Source organism: Homo sapiens, chromosome 1, assembly GCF_000001405.40.
Source record: "Homo sapiens chromosome 1, GRCh38.p14 Primary Assembly".
Lineage (NCBI taxonomy): Eukaryota > Metazoa > Chordata > Mammalia > Primates > Hominidae > Homo > Homo sapiens.
The window spans coordinates 62,835,978-62,851,745 of record NC_000001.11 but is presented as its reverse complement, the minus strand read 5'-3'; the positions used below and the strand labels follow the sequence as shown (position 1 = coordinate 62,851,745).

General features: G+C 34.6%; 1 protein-coding gene across 2 annotated transcripts in view; it reads right to left on the bottom strand.

Moving 5' to 3' along the window:
• The window catches only part of ATG4C (autophagy related 4C cysteine peptidase), an 81,385-nt gene that overhangs the window by 13,771 nt on the left and 51,846 nt on the right, over positions 1 to 15,768 (bottom strand). For both annotated transcript variants that reach the window (NM_032852.4, NM_178221.3), the window contains exon 10: positions 10,199 to 10,318. In NM_032852.4, the coding sequence (NP_116241.2) occupies positions 10,199 to 10,318 (120 nt within the window). The remainder of the gene's footprint in view (positions 1 to 10,198; positions 10,319 to 15,768) is intronic.

Genomic DNA, 15,768 nt, shown 5'->3' with positions numbered 1-15,768 from the left:
AGTTCTCTTTGTAGCTATTTATTTTTTTTAAATGTTCGGTCATCTCTGTGAAATATCTCAATCTTTCTTAAATACAAGTACAGCTCACATTTATTTCAATGTTTAATAGTAGAAGTATTTAAGTCTTTATTGTAAGTTTGGTGATGCTTCTGTGACAAGAACTATGTCTTAGGAACTTAACTCTTGTTTATATCAATTATCCTATGGTAAAACCAGTTTCATTTTATATCATTTCACTTAAAGTTACAGTTTCCAAGAACCTATCAATGATGTTAAGGGAAGACTTATTGTTCTTAGAAATGCAGAGTTAAAATTCTAAATAAATAGCTAAAAGAGTTAAAAGTGAATATACCTGAGGAGGTATTCTTTGGAGTGGGAAGTAAAATGGCAAGGGACTCCTGATTTTCAGCATAAGCCTTTTATCGCAATTTCCATTTTTAAAGTTAGTGTATGTACTACTTTAATAAATATGAAAACTAATTTTTTGAACAAAACATATTTTGAGTTGTGCACTGAATAAAAGGACTATCCCAAGTTTTAAGATAAATCCACAGCAATTTAAGGAAAATAGAAGAAGTAGGTAAAAACACACTGTAGATTTTCTATAACTCAATCACTGACCTCTTTACTAACTTATAAGACAACTTTATAACAAAGTCTTTTTAATTCATTTCTTCATTCAACAAATATGATTTACTGACCTTCTACAATGTGATAGCCAGTGCTAAGCACTGGGGATACAAAAAGAAACAAAATCAACAAAATCCTTCCCTTGTTGAGATGACATTCCAGTGGAATAAACAGATGATAGATAACTAAACAGAATGTGTGTGTATGTGTATGTATATATATATATATATATATATATATATATATATATATATATATATACATACATACACACACATACATACATGATACAGCAGAATATATACGTATATGTGTATAGTGATATGTGCTAAGGAGAAAAATAAAACAATGAAGGAAGGCAATTACGAAGTATAAAGGGTGCCCAGGGAAGGCCTAAGAATGTGACACTTGAGTAAAGATCTGAAAGAAGGGAGAGAACCATGAGAATATCTGTAGGAAGAGAATGCCAGGCACAGGAAACAAACGAAACCCGTGAAACAGGGGCGGGCACTGATCATTTTCAAGGAGACTAGTGTGGCTGGACTTGAGAGAGTTAGGGAAAATGGTAGGGAATGAGTTCAAAGAGGCAGCAGGGAGAAGCAGAGATTCCATTTATATAAAGCCTTGTGGGTTTGTAAGAGTTTGGGCTTTTACTCTGAGTTAAAAAGCTACTGTAAGGTTCTTTAAAAAATTAACACAATCTTAGTTACATTCTAAACAAAATCACTCTGGCGGCTATGTTGATTCTAGACTGTAGACAGAGCAAGGGAGATCAGTTAGGGAGCTACCGCAATAATCTCAAGGAAGATGTGAGGATGGGCCAGGGTAATAATGAGAGTGGTGAGAAATTATCAAATTCTAAGTATATTTTAAAGAAGAGATGATGGGATTTGCTGATGCATACGACATGGGGTTTGTGAGACAGAGCAAGGGATCCAGTTTTTAGGCTGAGCACCCAGGAAAATGGAGTTGTCATTTATTTAGTAACCAAATTATTTTCATTTGTTATTTTACTTTATTTTATAATTTACTTCAGTACCATAATTTCTTTGGATGAACAGAAGATAAAACTTTAATCTCATGTCTCTCTCTAAATAGTACTCATAAAATTCTAATGAAATAGAAACAAAACTTCTGTGTTAAAAATTTTTAAAATATTTTTAGTTTATAGTCACACCTTACACCTTAAAAGAAATAACTAAAACAAGTATTTTATAAATATACTAATTAGGAGCATCATAATGGCGTAGCTTGTATCAAATCAACCCTACCACCAAGAACCACCACAAGAAATGGATAAAGTACAGCCAGGTGTAGTGGCTCACGCCTGTAATCCTAGCACTTTGGGAGGCTGAGGTGGGTGATCACCTGAGGTCAGGAGTTTGAGACCAGCCTAGCCAACATGGTGAAACACCAGCTCTACTAAAAACACAAAACTTAGCTGGGCGTGGTGGCAGGCACCGGTAATCCTAGCTACTCAGGAGGCTGAGGCATGAGAATCACTAGAATCCGGGAGGCAGAGGTTGCAGTGAGCCAAGATCGTACTACTGCACTCCAGCCTTGGGGATAGAGTGAGACTCTGTCTCCAAAAAAAAAAAGATAAAGTATGATAGATAAAAAAACTGTTGGAAAGCATCTGAGAGCAATTAAAACAATTTAAGTCTTGAGAAATAAAAATCTTAGAGAGGCAAAGTCTATTAAGAAATTAAAGAAGCCAGAGATAATGGAATAAATATCTTTAAGATACTGAAAGAAAACAACTGTTAACATGGAATTCTATATCCTGTAAAAATATCCTTCAACAACAAAGGCAAGCTCTTCGTCTTCCCTTCCCCTCCCAAACAATTCATTTTTAAAGCCACTAGATGGGGCTGGGCAAAGCAGGTATGCATGCCCGGGTGGAAGAAGTCATTCTGGTCAACTGGGTATGTTGAAGACAGACTGGAACCTGGCAGGCGGCAGACATCACTTTAACCAAGGGGTCAAAGTTAGCATCACCAATAAAGAAACAATAAAAATAAAAATCGCATGCCATTCACCAAGAAACAATCAGAAAAACATAGCATCACTTTGGTGATATATCTGGCAAAGATGTATAACCTGAAATTAATGATGAAACTGTACAGACAAACCCAAATTGAGAGGACAATCTACAAAATTTTCAAAAGTGTCCTGTAAAAAAACTAAGAAACATGTATCCTGTTATCTTCAAAAATATAATGTGAAAATCAAAAAAGATGATTAACTGTTCTAGATTAAAGAAGATTTAAGACATATAAATGTAAGGTATTATTGTGAACTCAATCTTTTTGCCACCTGGAGCATTACTGGGACAACTGGTGAAACCTGAATAGTTTCTTGGGGATTAAATGGTGATAATGTACAATGCCACTTTCCTGATTCTGATAGTTATATTGTGGTTATGTAGGAGAATGTCTTTATTTCTAAGCAAGAAGTGCACACTCAACTATTCAAGGCTAATGGGGCATCATGCTAGCAACTTATTCTCAAATGGTTCAGGAAAAAAAATTATTTGCATTATATTTACAACTTTTCTATAAATTTGCTATTGTTTCCATTTTTAAATGAAGGCATAAAAAAGATGTGTTCAAACAAAAGCTGAGAGAATTTATCACCAGGTAACAGCATTAAAAGAAATAATAAAGAAAGTTCTTCAGAGACAACCAAAATGATCCCAAAAGGAAGCAGAGTAAAACAGGAAAAAAATGAAGGGCATCAGAAAGGGTAATACTGACTCTTTAAAACACAATGCCTTGTGGAATTTAAAATCCTACAGGACTCAAGTTTTTGATGACACAAAGTACAAAAACAGAATTTAAGGTAAGAAATATTACTAAGAGATAGAGGAACATTTAAAGTTGTAATTCAATAGGAAGACCTAACAGTCCTAAGTTTGTATGTAACTAATAGCAAAGCCTCAAAATGTATAAAACAAACAAACAAAAAAGAACTTAAAGGAGAAACAGACAACCCTACCATCACAATAGGAGGCTTTTATAACATGTCTTTCTGTAATTTAAAAACCATACGGGAAAGAAAAAAGAACATAAAAGATTTCAACAACATAATTAACTACTCAGACATGAGGGGAGGTAGGGAGGAAGATTATTAATAGAAGATTAGACACAGTGTTAAATAGAACTATTCCATAGAGATGCTGAAGTCTGAAGAAGGCAGAGAACGGAAGAGTGGTTGTTTTGGAGGCACTTCCAGTAAACCTGACTTCATCATACTCATCTGACCTTCAAGTTTTCCACTCTCAACTCTCCCGGACCATTTGCCTCCCTGTCCACAGGGATTTCCACAGTTGACCATTTCAACGAAATAAAAGATACTACTAAACTGACTTGAAATTCTGCTCTCCCAAACACGCCAAACTCTACTGTTCACTTTACCTACTCCTAATTCATGGCTTCCAAGAGTCTTAAAGCAAGACATGAAACTCTATTAGGTCCATTATGATTAGAAAGACACTCACTCTTCTCCTGGTGATTTTTTACTCATTGTGTGGTAGATTTAAATAGGGCAGGTTTCATGGGCATGTTAATATCCTTACAAAAAATGCAGTGAATATATACTATTAAACGTTTTTTGCACTCCCGAAATTAAATTATGTCTCTTCTATTTTTCTTTCTCATGACACTGTATTTTCTTCTCGATGAAACTTTTAATTTTTGTTATACACTTGTGTGTTTAATGTCCACTGGACTATAAGTTCATGAAGCCAGGAGTCACAACTATCTTGTTTACCACTGCATATCCAGCTCCAGACAGACATTCAACAAAATGAACACTTACTATGAGCTGAGCACCGTTCCAGATGCTTTAGGATATGTCAGTGCTTCGACTTATGGTTTCTGTTTTTTATTTATTCTCAATGCTTCAGTAAGACTTATGCTTTTTTGTTCTGTTTTGTTTGAGACAAAGTCTCGTTCTCTCGCCCAGGCTGGAGTGCAATGGCACAATCTTGGCTCACTGCACCCTCCACCTCCCGGGTTCAAGTGATTTTCGTGCCTCAGCCTCCTGAGTAGCTGGGACTACAGGCACACACCACCATGCCTGGCTAATTTTTGTATTTTTAGTAGAGACGGAGTTTCACCATGTTGGCCAGACTGGTTTTGAACTCCTGACCTCAGGTGATCTGGCCACCTCGACCTCCCAAAGTGCTGGGGTTACAGGTGTGAGCCACTGTGCCCTGCCCAGTATGACTTATGTTTTGAAAGAATTACCAGGGCTGCTGAATTGAGAACCAGCTAGAGGCAGGGAAGTGAGGCTTGGAAACTACATAAGAGATCACTGAAGTAACAATAGTGTCTCAGACCAGTGTTGCAAGAGCAGTAGGGAAGGTGGTGAAAAGTGGTCTGATTCTAGATATACTTTGAATATATAAGTTGTTATGAGATGTGAGAGAGAGAAGGGAGGTAAGAATAATCCAAGGCTTTGGCCTGAGCAGACAGTGGATAAATTTGCCATCAAATGAGACAAGGAAAACTGTGAGCAAAACAGGCTTCAGAAGGAAGATCAGGAATTTGATTTTGGAAACGTACGCCAGATGTATAAGGGACACTGAATAGCAACTGGACATTATAATATAAAATTTGGAAAACAATTTTGGGCTAAAGATACGATCTTGGACTATAACTGATATTTAAAGCTATATGACTGCATGAGATCATCAAGATAAAGAAGATATCAGAACTAAAGGATAAGCCCTAAGCTATTCCAACATTAAGAGGCTGGGGAAGAAAGCAGGCAAAGAAGACTAAAGAAGGAGCAACCAGTAAAGAATGAGAAAAACCAAAAGAGTTTGGTGTCCTGGAAGCCAATGTGAAGAAGGTGTAGGAGGGTGAAGTGGATGTTCACCTACATCAAATGCTTCTCTTATGACAAGTAGAATGAACTCTGAGATTCGACCAATGGACTTGGCAACGTAGGGTCATTAGTGACCTTGAAGAGGAATTCTGGTGGAGTCATAGGGATGAAAACACTCACATATTTGCTGACTAAATGAATCACCATATTAATGAACTATTAATTTGTTCCCCTGGTCACCTAGATGTAAAACAGACTTGTCTGTGAGCTCTCTCTTTCCCTCACCACTTTCTAAGTGGCTGTCTTACTGATTCTACCTTTGGGAGGCTGACACAGGAGGATCACCTGAGGTCAGGAATTCAAGACCAGCTTGGTCAACATGGTGAAACCCTGTGTCTACTAAAAATACAAAAATTAGCCAGGCGTGGTGGTGCACACCTGTAATCCCAGCTTCTAGGGAGGCTGAGGCAGGAGAATTGCTTGAACCCGGGAGGTGGAGGTTGAAGTGAGCCAAAATCGCGCCCCTGCACTCCAGACTGGGTGACTGAGCAAGACTCCATCTCAAAAAAATAAATAAATAAAAATAAATAAAACATATACAAGTTCTAAATGTGAAACATAAAACTTCTGGAAGGAGTATAGGAGAATATGTTTATGACTTTTGCTTATTAAAGATTTCTTTGATACAAAATTCAAAAACCATAAAAGTATTATTAATTTGACTATATTAAAATTAAAGACACAATTAACAAGTAAAAATAGCGGCCTAGAAGAATATATTTGTAACGTATAAAGCCAACAAAGCAGTAGTATCTAGAATTGTAAAGATTTCCTTCATATCAAATAGCCCTATAAAAAAATAGAGAAAAAGAATGAATGGGAAATTCACAAAAGAGGAAACAAATGGGCCAATAAACTTTGATTAAATATTCAACCTTAGTATCAATCAGGGAAATATAAATTAAAACTACAAAGAGGTACTATTCATATCCACGAGATTGGTTAAAATTTTAAAGTTTGACAATATCAAGTGTTGATAAGGATGTTAAGAAATTCTTATATACTGGTTGGCATGATCACTCTGGAGAGTATTTAACAACATACAGCAAACCTAAAAATATGCTTATCTTATGACCCAGAAATTCCACTGTAATGTATCTAGTATATCTAATGTAACCCTACTTAAAGTATTATATATGCACAAAGAGATATGTACAAGAATATTATTTAAAACATTATTTGTAATTAAACAAATATAACAAGGAGTTTTAAGTTCTCAGAAACAAGCCAGATGACCATCAAAGAAAGAAAGTTTAAATAAAAAGAGTGTATTACAGAATGGACCACTATTCAGCTGTTTAAATGAATAAGCTAGATCAACATGTACGGTTACATAGATAATCTCTAACTCACTGTTAAATAAAAATGTTGTAGATGAATATATATCTCTTTATATAAAAATATCATTAACAAAAAATTTAATAAATGTAAGATAATATGTGTTGTTTATGGATATATAAAGTATGGGTATGATACACTAATTCAGGATAGTGATTACCACTGAGAAGGAAGAAAAGGAATAAGATTGGTGGAAGATAACACACTTATTAATTATATATATAACTTTCTTAAGCTCAGTGGTAACACATGGGTATTTACTATATTATTCTCTATATTTCTGTATGCCTGAAATTTTAAAATTAATTTAACAAAATCAACATATTACTAAAGTACAACTTCTTCAGCTTTAATTCAAGACTCTCCATAGTATTATTCTAATCTACTTTTCTAGACTCTTCCTTCAGTATTTCCTATAACAGTGTTTCCCAAAACTCAGAGACTTATATACCCCTTTCACTATCATGATTAATGAATATTTTTCTTTTCATCATTTTTAACCTAAATAGCCTTGTACAAATCAATAAGTCACACATTTAATATGCCAGTTAATGTTAAGTATTAAAATGTTTGTCCTAGTGCCACCTAAAAACAACATCAAGTGTCACATCTTGGGTTGCCCTGTCTTATGCAAGTGGTTCTCAAATTTGGCACACAAGACTGTGTGGGAGGCTTGCCAGAAATGGAGACTCCCAGGCCACACCTTTAGGGATTTTGATTCAGGCAGTAGAAGCAGAAACCCTGCCTAATATGAAGCCTTGGCACCTACCAAGTTGGACTACTTGCCATTCTCTAGACAAACTCTCCACTTTCCTTCTATACTTTTCCTTTTGGTATTTCCTCAGCTTGAAGTAACCTTCTCTTTCCCTAAGCCAGTAGAAATTAAGCCTATACTTTAAAGCCCTTCTTAAATATGACCATCACAATAAAGTACTTTGACTTAGATGTGACATCTCTCTCATTTCAACCCTCTTCTTTCCTCTATCAATTTATTTCTATTTCCATATGGATGCTTACCATATTCAATGTAATATATGTCTACTTGTCTTATTTCCCCTACTGAAGTATAAACGTTACTTGAGGATGGAAGTTTTACACCTTGTTCAAAAGCAGAGATTGTATCTTGGTCATTTTGTGCTCTGTATATGATAGTTATGCAGATACTTGCTAGACTGAATTCTGCTAAACACTGAATTGGTTTAACAATTTTTATTAATATTTTAAAATCATATAGCATAAGGAGTTATTCGTTCATAGGGTATTACGAATTAAACATGAGACTCTAGACTACCAGCTTCATTTTCAAAATGAGAAAACTGAAAAGATACATCTTATACAGAAACAAATAATTTTAAGTTATTTTAATTTTTAAGGGTTAAAAACAATGATTGAACTAAAACTGCCAAATTCAGTTTTTAAGAAAAAAAGGCAAGTGCTTAACTTATAACCTTCCAGGCAAAAGAAACTGTGTCATTAACTGACATGGTGAGTTTTTGATACTGCTACAAAAAGCTATTGACTTAAGAAGAACACTATTATTAAAGCAAAGTTAATTGATTCTTACAAAATTCTCAGTACTTCCAAAAGACATTTCAACATAATTTCTCTTTGCCTTAATGCATATTATTCTGATGCTCAAGAATAATAATTTCTAAGTATTTTTCCAATGTAAAAGCCATAAGTGTCTTTAATTAGAAAATATCAGCACACATTTTTTAATTTTGCTTTTTTTTTTAATTTGGTAATAATAATCTGGTTTGTTTCTATTCCAGGAGTAAACTGCTTTACTGTTTTAAACATATTTATTTTCATCCAGATAGAAAATACATGAATGGAAACAGGGAAATGGGACTTTTTAATGGAAAATGTTCATCAACATCAATAAATATCACAATATCACCTGTATTTGTATACTTTAGCATATACATGATACTTTGTAGAGACAAAGAACTGTCAAACTAAAATATACAAATGCATATACTAATTTCCAGTAATAGGAGGAAAAATGAAAAATATATATTTTGTTATGTTCACCTGGCCTTCCATGTTGAAAAAGGAGAATGAAAAGAGAACAACTGTGAGAAATGAAGAATATGGAATGGTTCCCACATATCTCATTTGTTCCTTTCCTCATTCATTTTCCTGCCACATTCCTGCTAAATTTCCTCTTTCATATGGCAGGTCAAGTAAACTAAATCTAGCTTATATGAAACGTTTTATTTTTTATCATTCCATTTTTACATTGTAAAAATAAAATTTCAACTTACTATGTCCACTTTCCTGAATAAAATTAACTGGAAATAAAGCAGTAATAAGTTACTATTATATATAAGTTCCAGTGAAGAATTCTGAGGTCAGGAGTTCGAGACCAGCCTGACCAACATGGAGAAACCCCGTCTCTACTAAAATTACAAAATTAGCCAGGCATGGTGGCACATGCTTGTAATCCCAGCTACTCAGGAGGCTGAGGCAAGATAATTGCTTGAATCTGGGAGGCAGGGGTTGCAGTGAGCCGAGATCGCGCCATTGCACTCCAGCCTGGGCAACAAGAGTGAAACCTAGTCTCAAAAAAAAAAAAAAAAATTCCCAAAAATGACGAGTATTGGTCTTACATACCATAAAATGATAGCCTAACTACTGGTACAAATAAAGAGCTATCAAACTATGTGTATTTCTTTAAAAAGCAGTCTTTTTTTATTTTCTAAAATACTACATAGAGACAGATATTAAGGTTCCATAAATGTTTTAGCAGTACTCAAGGACCAAAAAAATGTAGAAGTATAAATGTAATGAGAAGAAGTTAAATAAACCTCTTTCAAGGATCCTATAAGTAGAATAGATCAGATTAGACAAGCTTACTGAAAGGTAAAAACACAGCTCATTTGATAAAGCAGTTCTGAGAAATCCAAAAATACCATTTCTCTTTTTAAAAAAATCAAAGAAGCACTTGGACTAACAAGAAATAATGCACAATTTGGCTTGATCAAATACTTCATTAATTTTTTTCCTACCCCTAAGGGATTGCCCTTTTAAAATCTTCTTCAAATAGAATATAACCTAATTGCTTGGACCGGTCTAGCGTTTGCAACAGGATTTTTATTTCAACAGTGCCACCTAGTGGACCAATCAATACTTTCAACTTGTCACTAGATTTCATTTGCCTCAAACGCTAAGATTCCTCAAATGGCTTTATTTTTCAATTCACAATACTCCTAATAATATTAACATTCAAGAGGAAATTTTATAAAAAATTATAATTTACAGGTTTTTGCTTTCTGACAGTCTGTTTCTAATAAAATTAGGTCATTTACAAATATAATATTTTAAATAAAGATACCTTGGTGATTTCTTCAGAAGCTCGTTTGAAGTCCTGAACATTTCGACAGTAAAATCCTATTGTACAGCTGGGATCCATTTTTCGAAAAGACATCTTTTTGGGAGAAGGGCAGTGGAATGTCTGTAATTTTTAAAGTTCTTTAGGATTAATTTATCTTTGATAGACAAGTATATATAAAACTATTATTTAAAATTTTCTATCTAGCTTTTTCCCATCACTATAAACATGATTTTCAAATGGTGTTTTAGTTCATCCTACGCAGATGGTCCTCTCCACTCTGCAAAACTGTAAAATATAAGAGCCAACATTTTTATATATTTAATTCACCAAATTTCAACCTTTTGTGATATTAGTGCCATTCTGCAAAAGAAAGGAAGTGTGTCAAAAGTGGTATGCATTTCTAACACTTGAAAACATGAAAAAGACATGAAAAAAGTATGAGGCTTAGAATCAAGTTAGCCATTTCTATTAAAATGCAGTTAAGTCTGTTTTGTTGGAGATTTTGGGTTAATGTTTATAAACCTTTTAACAAGGATATCGAGACTTTTTAAACAAATACACAGACTCAGGTAAATGTTCTATATTGACATAAAAAGAGGTCAACTTGAGGGTTTTAGCAATTCACACAATTAGTACATAACTGCGTATTCTTCAACTTTCTCTTTGAGTGTGCTTTAATTCTTGTTTCTTCTCAGGGAACAGGCTGGAACAGGTGAAACCATTCCATTATGGTCCCTGCCCTCTTTCTCATCAGTCCTTTTGTCTCTTTAGTTCACTTTTCTCCAATAGACACAGTGCCACAGATATAAATGGGCTGGGGAGGCTGCCCTAGTTTCTCTACTGTCTTGCTAATGGATTTGGCTGTTAGTAGAGTTTGGCATCTTTAGGGAATACAAAAGTAGAAAAAGGGCAGAATATAAAAGTAATCACTGCAATCTTTTTGTTCCTCACAATCACACCTTAGTACTATGTTTAAAAATTTTTTTAATGCTTAAATGCTTAGCCTGTCCTTAAAAATCACTGAAGTGACCAAGTCTTTTTCTGTATGTAGAAAAAATAAGTTTGTGTTAAAAAGAACATAAGACTGTATATTCATATTTATATAAATAAACTAAGGATATACAAAAATTAACAAGTCTGTGGTAAAGGGAGAGAACTGGGCAGATGGGAGATAAGTGTGGGAAATTTTTGAATTAAAGAACAAGCTCAATTAAGAAATAATCTAGGAGCTGGGTGCTGTGGCTCCCATGTACAATCCCAGCTATTCAGGAGCCTGAGGCAGGAGGACTGCTTGAGCCCAGAAGTTTTGAAGCTGCAGTAAGATATGATCGTGCCACTACACTTCAGCCTGGGCAAGAGGGCAAGACTCCAACTCCATTAATGGGAGGGGAGGGGAGGGGAGCTGGATTTGAGCTCATAAAATTATAGTTTCCCTACATTCAATGCCTAAAACTAAGGGATTTTTAACTTCATGCTATCTATTAAAGTGTGGAAAAAATAAGTTGTCATATTTGTTATGTTCATGGTGAAATCAATTAAAATCACTCTTTCTCTCCCTGTACATCCTAGTGACCCAATTTGTATCCCGTATCATCACCAAAAGATATGCAAAATATATACATTCAAGCTGCTTTTTTTTCCAATGAAAAGTTCAACTGCATATTAGATTCAAATCCAACAATATGTCACTCAATATAGGGCAAAATATGAGTTTTCAAAACTATGACTTCTGCAAAATGCTTAGCTAACTTACTTTATATACTGAGATTCAACCTAGCTAAACTGGAACCTCCATGGCACTAGTCAATACAAGTATAATCTTAGTTGGACTTTTTCTAACATTGATCTACCTGTTACATTAGCAAAGAAATATTTAAAACAGAACTAGAAAAGCACAGAAAAGCTAAACAAACTGGTTAGTTAACAATTTACAGGAATATGAGTATATTAGGGTATATGGCACAGTTCTAAGTCATATTTATAAGAAATTATTCTACATACATGGTATCTACAAATAACCATTTGCCCAGCTCATTCGAAAGACAATCACAAGGAATGTTTCTTAACTTTTTTACCAGTTGGGGATAAGAAGGAGGGCCAAAAGCTTGTACATGGTCTAATAATATATTTTTGAACTCATCTACAAAGGGTATTCTATATTATACTAAAGCACTGGTAAAAGTTTTCATGTAAGAACTTGAGTCAGGCTCATGCCTGTGCCCAGAAATTCAGAAGGCTGAGGTGGGAGGATTGCTTGAGGGCTGAGGTTTGAAACCAGCTTGTGCATCATGGCAAGACCCCACCTCTAAAAAAAAATTTTAAATAGCCAGGTGTGGTGGCATTCACCTATAGTCCCAGCTACTTAGGAGGCTTAGGTGGGAGAATTGCGTAAGCCCAGGAGTTTGAGGTGCCAGTGAGCTATGGTGGTGCCACTGCACTCCAGCCTGGGTGACAGAACAAAACTCCATCTCTAGAAAATAAAAATTTTTTAATTTTAAAAGGCTTTTCATGTAAGAACCAATAATACTAAACCAGAATAGTCTTATTACTATCTCACTGTACTGACTACAACCATCATAGATAATAACAAACACTAAATTGTTATTCATGGTTGTTTTAATATCTACAAAGAACTTTTAAAATATTCACAAAAACACAGATATAAATCTCTGATCACTTAAACTGATATTGGGTATTGCGGCATGAGCACTAGGACTCATACAACAGAGAGGCATTTTATATCATTTAAACTTTTTTTTTTTTTTTTGAGATGAAGTTTCACTCTTGTCGCCCAGGCTGGAGTGCAGTGGTGCGATCTCTGCTCACTGCAACCTCTGCCTCCCAGGTTCAAGCAATTCCTCTGCCTCAGCCTCTCGAGTAGCTGGGATTACAGGTGCGCACCACCACGCCCAGCTAATTTTTTTGTATTTTTAGTAGAGACGGGGTTTCACCATGTTGGCCAGGCTGGTCTCAAACTCCTGACCTCAGGTGATCCACCTGCCTTGGCCTCCCAAAGTGGAGGGATTACAGGCGGGAGCCATCATGCCTGGCCATTCATATCATTTTGTTCATCCAAGAAGATTCAAAGGCCAACCAACATGAATTTACAATTCACAATCGTTGTCTATTGCAGAACAAGTTAAACTTTCAAATATTTTCCTAATTCAGGGCTATGTTCACTTCGTGATAATTTTTGAGCTATGCACTTAAGATTTTTTTTAATTTTTAAAATTCTAATGATTGGTAAGAGGAGTAGCATCTACTTGACAAACGCACTTTAAGGAGTATTCACTAGATACACTTCTGTAACAGTGTTTCTGGAAATACTGGCCAGAGAGAATCAATTCCCATTTATTTCATTTTTTGATACATTGTTTACCAATTGCCCTAATAGTTATTAGGCACCTACAAAATGACAGGCACTATTCTAGGCTTATTGTTTAGAATAGTGAAGTCTAATTACCTAAACATACCAAAACCATACTGAAACATATGCTTATAGGTACAGCTATGCTATTTTGGTGATTCAGATGAAGCTTCCTAAGACAGTTAATTAGAAAATACCCTTAGTAAAAAGTACCTACTGATAATTAACCGGGTATGGTGGCACCCACCTGTGATCCCAACTACTTGAGTGGCTAAGGTGGAGAGATCGCTAAAGCCCAGGAGGTCAAGGCTACAGTGGGCTGAGATTACACACTACGCTCCAACTGGAGTGGTAACAGAGCAAGACCCTATCCTCCACCCAAAAGACAACATAAAAAAAACCTACTACTAATTGCAGTTCACATGTGTAATTCATAAAGGGTATTATCTTTCACTGAAGAATTCACTCATCCAATCTAGATGCCCACATCACGTAATTCTAATAGTTTTACTGCCAATATTTCTGAATTTCCTAAGGTAGATTAAAACAGTTACCACTGTATGAACCTCCTAAAATTTGACATTTGGAATTGGGGACCCAGCAATCAGAACAAACTGACATGTCTATTAATAAAGCTTTTCTTACATACCCTCACTGCCAAAGCCCATTTGAGGTCTCTTCTCACTCCCTTCTAATTTCAAGTTGTTCTTTGATGACTTTTGTTTAAGGTTGTTCATGCTGCTCCTCTGAACCTCATTTTCTGTTTGAAAATTACAGTGTGAGTTTCTACATTATAATGTGCCCTCACACTGAACCATGTGCTCCATTCCTCAGTCCTAACCAAAGATATCCCTGGCATATCTTCACTACTAGACTTAGGATCCAAATATAACTGCTGATGTTCACTTCACAATGTGTTAAAAACTCACTGAAGATAGCTAAAAATGAGGAAGAGTCTCTTAAAAGTTAGTATAGAAATTCAATAGGATATACTAATTTATTTCAGAAGAAAATGTCACAAGAATTAAACATTAATAGAAATGTATATAATCAAAACACTTGGAATCACAGAGAAGAAAAGAGTTCAACAGAGGACTCAAGGGCTTAGGAAAGTCCCTTGCACCTAGAAAGAGCTCATTAAAAAAGAAAGAAATGAGTTACTCTGATTTGGTTTCAAAATGTTAAGAGTTCAATTCTAGAAATGTAGAAATTCAACACTGTAAGAACAACAAAAAATGCAATCTGTTTAAATCTCTTCTTTAATCTCAAATATTCTCATATCATCCCACTTCCTTAAAATTTCACAATCTATTAGATTTAGGGCACTCAAAATATCAGAGGACTACCACCAATTATTTATGTGGAATCAGTGGATGATTTAAGGTTTCAATTTCTCCATCTATTAACCAAAAAAATACTGACCCAAAAAGTTCCCTATAAAAATGATTTTAATAATTGAAGTATAAGGGTGGTTTTAGAATATGCATATAATTTTTTACATTAATCAACTACATAATTTCACTAGCTATAAATATACAAGCAGTATAGCAAAGCAAGGATGGTTAGTAATACAGGGTAGTTAAAACACCTTCAATTGGTGTATTATAAACTTAAAAGATGATAAAAAGCAAAAAGTGAAATTTTATTCCTCTACAACTTGATATAATTTTTATATTATACTTTCATAGGAAAACAAGTGATGCTATAACTAAAATAAATCCCTTCACTGCAGAAAAATAAAAATTTTTAACAGGAATTTTCCACACAGATTAAGATATTCTACCAGGATCTTAAAAATATAACATCTATAAACCCATTCTATAAGTGTCCCACTATATAAGAAATGTTTCTGTGCATTTAAGAAGTCAATTTTAACAAATTTTACCTTACACAGTAAAATCTTAAAATCAATTATTCCTTTCCATTTTCACTATCACCAGCCTACTTCAAACCTTTATTATTAATAACTCCCTCTTGGAGTGTTGCAACAGTCTCCCAATAATGAGTTGAAGCCTTTCTAATTTTGATTGTATACACATAGCCAGGATATTCATTCACTTGGTATCTTTGCAGTCTCTCAAAATATCAGATGGATAATTTCTCTCTACTGGCCAAAATAATCAGACCAATAATCTTTTAATTTGCTTATTTAGGTAATACTAAAATACTAAGAACAATTTTCCATCTAAATCTCAAGTACCTA